Source organism: Homo sapiens, chromosome 4 (genome assembly GCF_000001405.40).
Source record: "Homo sapiens chromosome 4, GRCh38.p14 Primary Assembly".
NCBI lineage: Eukaryota > Metazoa > Chordata > Mammalia > Primates > Hominidae > Homo > Homo sapiens.
The window spans coordinates 107,421,793-107,431,242 of NC_000004.12; positions in this window are offsets into that span (position 1 = coordinate 107,421,793).

Sequence of the window (9,450 nt, forward strand, 5' to 3'; positions counted from 1 at the left end):
GGCTAGGGGAGGGATAGCATTAGGAGGAATACCTAATGTAGATGACTAGTTGATGGGTGCAGCAAACTACCATGGCATGCATATACCTATGTAACAAACCTGCACGTTCTGCACATGTATCCCAGAAAAAGTGTAATTTAAAAAACAGAAATAAATAAAAACAGAACAACAGCAGTAAAAACAAAATACATAAATTAATTAATTAAAATAAAATAATATAAAAATAAAAAGTGGGCAAAGGACATGAACAGACACTTCTTGAAGTAAGACATACACGTGGCCTACAAACATGAAAAAATAGTCAACATCACTAATCATTAGAGAAATGTAAATCAAAACCACGATGAAATCACCATCTCAGAAACCAGTTAGAATGGCTATTACTAACACTAAAAAGTCATAAAAATGTTGGCAAGTTTGCAGGGGAAGGAGAACACTTTCATATGGTTAGTGGGAATGTAAATTACTTCAGCCACCATGGGAAGCAGTTAAGAGATTTCCCAAATAACTTAAAACAGATCTACCATCAACCCAGCATTCCCATTACTGGGTATATACCCAAATAAATAAAACTCATTCTACCAAAAAGACACGTGTACCTTTATGTTCATTGCAGCACTATTCACTATAGCAAAGACATGGAATCAATCTAGATGTCCATCGGTGGTGAAAAGAATAAAGAAAACATGGTACCTACACATCATGGAATACTATACATCCCTAAAAAATGAAATCATGTCCTTTGCAACAACATGGTGCAGCTTGAAGCCATTATCCTAGGTGAATTAATGCAGAAACAGAAAACCAAATAACACATGTTCTCACTTATAAATGGGAGCTAAACATTGAGTATACATGGACACAATGAAAGGAAAAAAAGCCACCAGGGCCTACCTAGTGGGGTGATGGGAGGAGGGTAAGGGTTGAAAAACTACCTATTGGGTACCATGCTCACTACCTTGGTGATGAAATCATTTGTACACCAAACCCCATGACATAAAATTTGCCCATGTAACAAATCTGCCTATGTACCTTCTGAACCTAAGATGAAAGTTGGAAAAATAAAAAATAAATAAATACCTAAAATTTCTCCACACCAGGAGAAGATACATCCCTTTGCATAAGCAAAATTGAACTGGTTCCTGGTAGTAAGGAGAAAGATGAAGAGCACATTATTTAGAACCAGAGGAACCAGCAGACAGACTCACACAGTTCCCACCATGTTCCTGCTTAAATGTAGTACAGAACATGACGCCTGCCAATGAAAAATAAACAGTTGTTTTGCAATCTTATGAGAATAAACAGTAAAAAAAGAAAAGTTTAGTGGCGATATCAACATCTGGCAAAGACTTTCAACAAAAAATATTACCAGGGAGGCCAGGCACAGTGGCTCACACCCGTAATCCCAGCTCTTTGGAAGGCCGAGGCAGGCAGATCAATTGGCCCCAGGAGTTCAAGACCACTTTGTGCAACACAGTGAGAACCCCATGTCTACAAAAAATAATACAAATTAGCTGGCTGTAGTGACATGCACTCATAGTCCCAGCTACTCAGGAAGCTGAGGTGGGAAGATCACTTGAGCCAAGAAGTTTGAGGCTTCAGTGAGCTATGATTGTGCCACTGCACTCCAGCCTCAGCAAAAGAGTGAGACACTGCTTCAAAAAAAGAAAAATTGCCAGTGATAAAGAGGAGAATTTTATCATGATAAAAGAGCCAATCTATCTAGATGTTGTTACATCTGATAAAAATGGGTAGGAAAACAATAGCAATACAAATAACTGCAATCTTCAGTTTCAACTTTCGTATCTGTCCTTTATTCTGCCATTTTCCCTGCTTCACAAATTATCTCCTCACTGACCTGTTTCTTCCATCACTAGTTCACTTTTGATTTCTTCTCCTTTAGTCAAAAACAAGTTCAAAGCTTTGCCGTTCTAAAAGAAACTTTCTTAGGCACCCCCCACCTTTTATTATCTATGCAAGGCCCTTTCTCTTTCATTGCCTTTCGTAATCAAATTTTCTGAAAGTGTGGAGAAGTCTGTGCTTCTGGGATTCCCCTAAGATTCTGGGTTATCTTTTGCTAGTCAGATAAAAAGCAGTCTCATGCATCAGAGTATCCAGCAGTTATGGCAGCAGTAGGAATTCTAAGAGCAACAAAGCTGCTGCAAGGGCCAAAGCACTTTCTTTCTGATGAGGCTAACTGTGGTTTCTATTAGTTGCCACTAGATGTGCCCAGCTGGTTTACTCCTCTTTATTCAAAATTTAAAGAGCACTTACATAATTATAACAATTGAAAAACTGTTGATGGCCAGGTGCAGTGACTCATGCCTATAATGCCAACACTTTGGGAGGCCAAGGCAAGAAGATTGCCTGAGCCCAGGATTTCTCAACCAGTCTGGGCAACATAGCAAGATTCCTGTCTCTACAAAAATTGTTTAAAAACTAGGGCCTAGTGGCTTGTGCCTGTAGTCCCAGCTACTTGGGAGGCTGAGGTGGGAGGATTGCTTGAGCCCAGGAGTTTGAGGCTGCAGTGAGCTGTGATGTTACCACTGCACTCCAACCTGGGCAACAGAGTGAGACCCTGTCTCAAAAAAAAAGAAAGAAAGAAAGGTGTTTACCATTTTAGATCTAGGAACTTCACTAATTTTTTTATAATGGGAGACCATCTAAAGACAATTTCATTTTATGGGCATTGAACAAGACAAAAAAATTAGACCTCAAGTCCAGAAAGATTTTTCTAGGTTTTTACCCAGCTAAACTCTTTATTCTTTAACATTCACCAATATAATTTCCACTCCTACACCCCATCAAATCTTTATGGAAACCATTTTCATATTTCAGCAGTGGACTCTTAATTGTTAAAATCAATGAGTGATTGTCAATCATCGTACTATTTAACTCCTTTTATAATTTTGACATCATTCAATTATGAAAACCCACATCTCCATTAGCAGAGGGAGAAGTATTATGAAGCCAATGAAGTTTAAACTTCAAGATCCTTCACTTACATAGGACCTTTCCAACATGCTGGGAATAGCTCTAGAAATGTGTTCATATAATAATATATTTTTAACTTGAAAAAGTAAGATATTAAACCTCAACTAATACTATATTCTCTATCCACATTGACTCCCACTCCATCACACTTCCTTCATATTAGGTGGCATTTGGTGTGACCATGGACATTTTGGAGATCTAACTAAGGAAAAACTGAGTTGAGAATGAATTTAGCTTAAATTTAGAGGATTAGTCTGTTCTTGTGTTGCTATAAAGAACTACCTGAGACTGGGTAATTTACAAAGAAAAGACGTTTAATTGGCTCACAGTTCTGCAGGCTGTACAGGAAGCACTGCTGAGGAAGCCTCAGGAAACTTTCACGGCAGAAGGTGAAGGGGAAGCAGGCATGTCTTACATGGCTGGAGCAGGAGGGAGAGAGTGAAGTGGGAGGTGCTATACACTTTTAAACAACCAGATGTCGTGAGAACTCACTCACTGTCATGAGAACAGCAAGGGGTAAATCCACCCCCATGACCCAATCACTTCCCACCAGGCCCCTCATTCAACACTGGGGGTTACAATTTGACATGAGATTTGGGTGGGGACACAAATCCAAACCATATCAGAGGGATATATTTGTGTGTATGACAAGCACTTTAATACATAATTATAACTAATAAGATTTTACAGACTATAAGTGGCAGAGATAGTAAAAGTAAGTACTATCTGACTCAAGTGTTAACAATCTCAATACAACACTATATTGCCTTTCAATGATTTAGTGATTCATCATCAGGCCCCCAATTCCTTAATTCAGTCTATTCTATCCTCAGCCACTTACCAGTATTTCATAGTCTATTCTCAGGTACATGCTAGCATTTGACATCTTTTCCCTTCTCTTTTTCTGAGCTTCAACACACCCTGTGTGTTCACCACACTCAATGCAAATGTATCCTCCTATCTTCACTAGATCATATCTTTGTCCATGCTTTGTTCATGCTCTTCCCTCAGCCTACAATGGCCTTGATCAATCACATCTGTACTCACTTTTATTAATTTCCTGCTGATTTGACAGGACAAATAAATTTCCATGGAAATAACATGACATCAATTCTATACCACTATCATGAGAAAGACATTGACACCTGACTGGTTGATTATGTTCATTCAGGCAATTTAGCAACTGTTTATGTTATCCATTGGTGTATGACAAACCATCATAAAACTGACTGGTGTAAAACAGAGTTTTTAAATGTGGGTTTAGAATTTGGACATACACAGCAAAGATGGCCTATCTCTGGTTCACCATGCCCAGGGCCTCAGCTAGAAAGAATCAAGTACTTGGGGGCTGAAATTCTCTAGAGATGCCTTTATTCATATGCCTAGCATCGAAGGTGGAATAATTTAAAGTCTGGGTTCATCTGGGATTGTCAACCAAAGAGCCTACACATGGCCTCGCAATGTGCCTTTATCTTCCTCAAAGCATGGCAGCCTCTGTGTAGTCAGACTTCTAACACTGAGGCTTAGGGCTCCAATAGCAAGCGTTCCAGCAGCTAAGTGGGGAAATCCATGGCCCTTTTTTGCTGAGCCTCAGAAGTGATATTTCCACCATGTCATATTACTTAAAACAGGAACAATCCTGCCCCTATTCAAGTGGAAGGGACACCCACCTCCACTTCTCAATAGGAAATGAGTGAAAGACTCCATAATCATATTTTAAATTGCCATAGTAACTGCATTGGATACTTTAAATACCCTAAAATTAATACTTACATGTGGAAGAAATTGTATAGAACTTTCCTCAAATTTAATAATAATCCTAAAAATCTGTCATTACCAATAATGAATGATAAAGCTGAAAAAAACTTTTCTAAATTCTAAACAATGAAAATTGAACTTTAACCAAACATCCCAGAGGACAGATTTTATTATTTTCTCATCTTTCCAGAGAGGAGAAGTAATCAAATAATATGCAGTCAAAAACAACAGGGAAAATACTACAGAAAGGTGTTAGGCAGTTAGCTAAAAAAAAAAATCATATTCTTTTTTCCTAGATTTGTGAAGTTTTGGTATTTACTTTCTCTTTATAAATAAATATCCCCTTTTACCTAATTTGTATTAGTAATGTAATAAGATTAAGTTATTTATAATTGAATAAACTTCAGTTACTTATAATTGAATAAGCTTCAAAGGCCGCAGAACTTGGATTTTCCTGTTTCTGTTTCCATGATACCACTCTTTGTCTTCCTCCGCCTCTTTGGCGATGCCATCTCACTCCCTGCATTCTTCTTCCTCTGCTCACACTCTTAATACTCACCAGTATTAATCCTCACTTCACGGTACTGAAAAAACTCCCTTTTTGCCTTACTCAAAAATCACATAGGTCAGATCCAGAAATTAAACTTCTCAGATCAATATCAAATTCACAACTCCAAACTTCATTTAACATTAAAGCTTTTCTTTTTCCCCTTCCTGGGGCCTGCTACGAGCTAGTCACTTGCCTTGGGAGAATGGGGCCTGGCTCTCTTGTCTTTCCCTGATAAGCATGTCTGGGTAGGGAAAGGAAGAGTGCTGAAAGAAACAGGAAATGATGATACCTGTCACTGTGGAAACTGGCTTCGCACCCTATGGGCCTGACAGATGCTAACAGCTGGCTCTCTCACATGTACTTTTTTGGGTTTCTTAAGGCTACCCTATTGAGTCTCTCAAATTGCAACTCCTGTATTATGGACAATACCTGTCCACCTTAAACTGGGGTCCCCTTGCCCCAAGGGGCTGCCCTCTTGGTCACGATTTCTAAAACATCCACAGCTGCCAATCCTCCCTGTGATTTCACACATGGTTCCAGGAACACCTTTGATCCTCCAATGCAGGGGAGTGCAACTCTCTGTTCCTCTGTTCAGGTACTATGAGCTGCTCCAGCTTTCTCAGGCTCATGCCAGTCAACAAACCTCTATGTCCCCCAATTTCAGGGCACACATAGCAAGCTCTCCATGTAGTCCTACTGGAGTGCCTCACACTCTATATTGAGTTTAGAAGCAGCCTCCCCATCTGCAACAACCACCTTGGGTAGAGGAAAGAAGGAAAAAAGGAGATATATTTTGTAGCTTCTTCCAAATGTTTCCTTATAAAAGTCTTCTCTATTTGCACTCTCTAGATTCTTTCATATCTTTGCAGTTTTAACATATGGTCTAGTATCCCTTTTGGAATAAAACATATGCCCTATCATGATGGTTCAACTGAAATGTCAATTTTGGTATCCTGTTAAATAATATATACATATATATATATATATATACACATGTATGTATGTATATACATGCACACACATATGCATATTTATATGTGTATCATATAAAATGTCCTCCAGAATGTGCTGCAGAGTTCAAAACTAAACTCAACTCCTAACTTGCTCACCCTTCCCTCCATGTTCCCTCAATTAGTAGCCCAATCTAAAAAGCCCAGTTATGCTAAAATTCTTCCATCATCGAAACTTAACACTTACAACTCAGAAGTGCCAAAAACTTGCCCACTTTTTCCTTGTTTAGTATTAGGAACCAATATCTTCTTAGCTAGATTATTGTAATAGTTGCCTTTGCCAAATGAGCAAATAAATAAGAGGAAGCCCACCTACATCCCACAGCCCATGCAGGTGGGCATTCTCTTATTTATTTGCTCATTTGGCAAACATCTATTGAGGATCTACTGTATCCCATGCACTTTGGACACAAGGCTTTAAAACTCAAGAATTGCTAATGAAGAAGATGATTAACCAACATACACCATATATTATAATCTAATAAAGCCCTGAAGGCAGGATTTTGTCTGTTTTGTTTACTATTGTAAACCCAAGACCTTAACAGGACCTGGCACTTGGTAAACATTTAATAAACATTTGCTAATAGAATGAATAAATAAAAGAGGAAAGTGGTATAGTTGGATGTGGATGCTATCAGAGCAACACAGACAAAGACTGAGAATGAGGTCTCAGAATGAGGAAGAGACTGAAGAATACAATGCTGGATTTGAGTACAAACATTTATTCCCAGCCAGGAAAATAGGATATAGAAAAGCACAAACAATAAAACCATTAGAAAATTGGAAAACTGCAAATAATTCAATATAGTATTGTATATTGTGAACCACAACTTGCAAAGGGTGGGGAATTGTTGAAGGGCTTTAAGCGAGCACGTGTGGTGATCAGATCTTTCATTGAGAAAGCTTACTCTGAAAGCAATACTGAAGTTGACTCAAAGAAAAAATGTCTGTAGATAGAGAAGCCAGCTTAATAGTAATGTATTTGGGGTTCTAAATAGTGAAACAGAAAAGAAGGTACTGTGTTCTCTTTTCAAAAATTACCCCTGAACCACAAACAGAAGGAGAAACACAAACACAACTTCAGCAAAACTGTATATAAGTTTGAAGCACAGTGTGTGGCAAAGGCTCCCAGATGCAGTGAATGTCAAGACAAGGGGCATTGCAAGTGGGACACATGGCCACAGTTGTACCTCAGGGGAGGCTGCAGAGTGATATTCTCCAAAACAGAAGATGCTCCATGAGCAGAACCTCAACAAGACCTCGTGCTCCCTGAGTAGACCCAAACAAGGCCACAATGGCAAGTGCCTGCAAGGACTGTCCGAAAGACTTTCCCAGGACCCAGAAGAAACCTGGAAAAAGAAGAAATCACACCAACCCGCTCCACTCCCAGGAGTGGAATGTTGGTGAGGCCATCAGGCCTGCTCTGCATGGCGAGCTGTTCCACAGGGCTGATGCCTGGTGGCTGGAGAGAAGAACAAAACAAAGAAATCTCAGAAACAACTTGAATCACAAGGAGCTTTGAATTAGCATTAACACTTATGAGCAAAAATAAAATTAATACAAAAGAATAGGAAAACTATTAATGGTCAAAATTTTATTTTTCCTCTCTCTTAGAAGACCAAGTGGACCAAAAAATAAGTATAAGCAGGAATGACCTAATAGCCAACTATTAAGGTAACATAATTATTGTTTAATTGATTGGTATCCAACTCTGCACCCTAAAACCAAAAATGCACATGTTTTTCCAATGCTAATAGCACATTGTGAAAAATTAACTTTTTTGTGTCACAAAGAAAATATTAATAAATTTGAAAAAGCAGGAATAGCAAAGTTGATGGTGTGTGATCAAAAACAATAAAACTAAAGACATATTACTAGATCAGGAGCCCTGTCACTTGCTTGTACAATTTAGCACAAAAGATAACTACAGTAATACAGGCAAGAAGTTATGGTGGTCTGAAAAAAAGAAGTGGGAATGAGGAAACGATCAATTGACAGAATTATGTGGTGATCAGAGATTGAAGCTGAAGGAGATGAATGTGTCTTTAGAGACTTCTAGGCTTTTCACTTAGGAAATAGATAGATAGCATCACCATTTATTAGCATTGGGAATACCTTAGGAGAAACAGCTTTTGAGAAAAAAACAACAAATTCATTTTCACTCAAGTTGTGTTTGAAATGTCAGCTAGACTTTAGTGGATAAGACTGGAACAAGCAGTAAAATATATCAGTCTAAATCTCAGAGCAAAGATGGAGCAAGGGACATACACTTGGAAGACAACCATATATACTAGATAAGCGGCATTTTTGGATTTATGAGAGACTCTGCCGAGAAGCTTTGAATGAGCAGTTAAGAGGGCACAGGAGAGAGCCCTGGGGTTCAGGGGGCTTAAAGAAAATCAAGAGAAAGGGTTTAGGGAGGAAGACATTCCACAGCATTTATCACACTTTACTGGTTTCATGGCCACATTTCCTGATACACTCTAAGCTGCATAAGGACAAGAATATATGTTTATTTTTATTATTATTTGCCTAACAAGTGCTCAGTAAATAGTAGGTGACCAATAAATATTTGTTGAATGAATAAGTGACAGAATAAATTAAACCAAAGTAATACCTTCACTTGGACCTCCTTCACTCCCTCCACCTTCCTACTCTTTAGTGAATCTGAGCCATCTTCTAGCCCTTTCCCTCCTGTACCTCCAGCCTCCCTTGTTTTGTTAGCATTTCTCTTTGTTCTATGAAAAATCTCTAAGAAAGGAAAAATTCATGGAATAGTCATCTTTATAAATACAATGACAAAAAATAAAAACCCTCTTTGGGGCCATAAGTTTATACTCTTTGTTCTTAGAGAGTGTAGTGTGTTGTCAAGAGCAGATTGCCTGCGTTTGAATTTGGCTCTGCCACTTACTAGGTGTTTGACAATAGACAAGTTATTGAGTCTCTATGTATCTGTTTCCTCTCTTATAAAATGGGACGTTGACTCCCTACTCTATGTGGTTGCTGTGAAGATTAAATGATTAAATGAGTTAATATACACAAAGTGCTTACAAGTATATTGACAATTAGAAAATATGGTTTTCTCATTCAGTTAATCATTTAGCAAGAAAGACTTCATCTTACAGTATTTCAGAACAA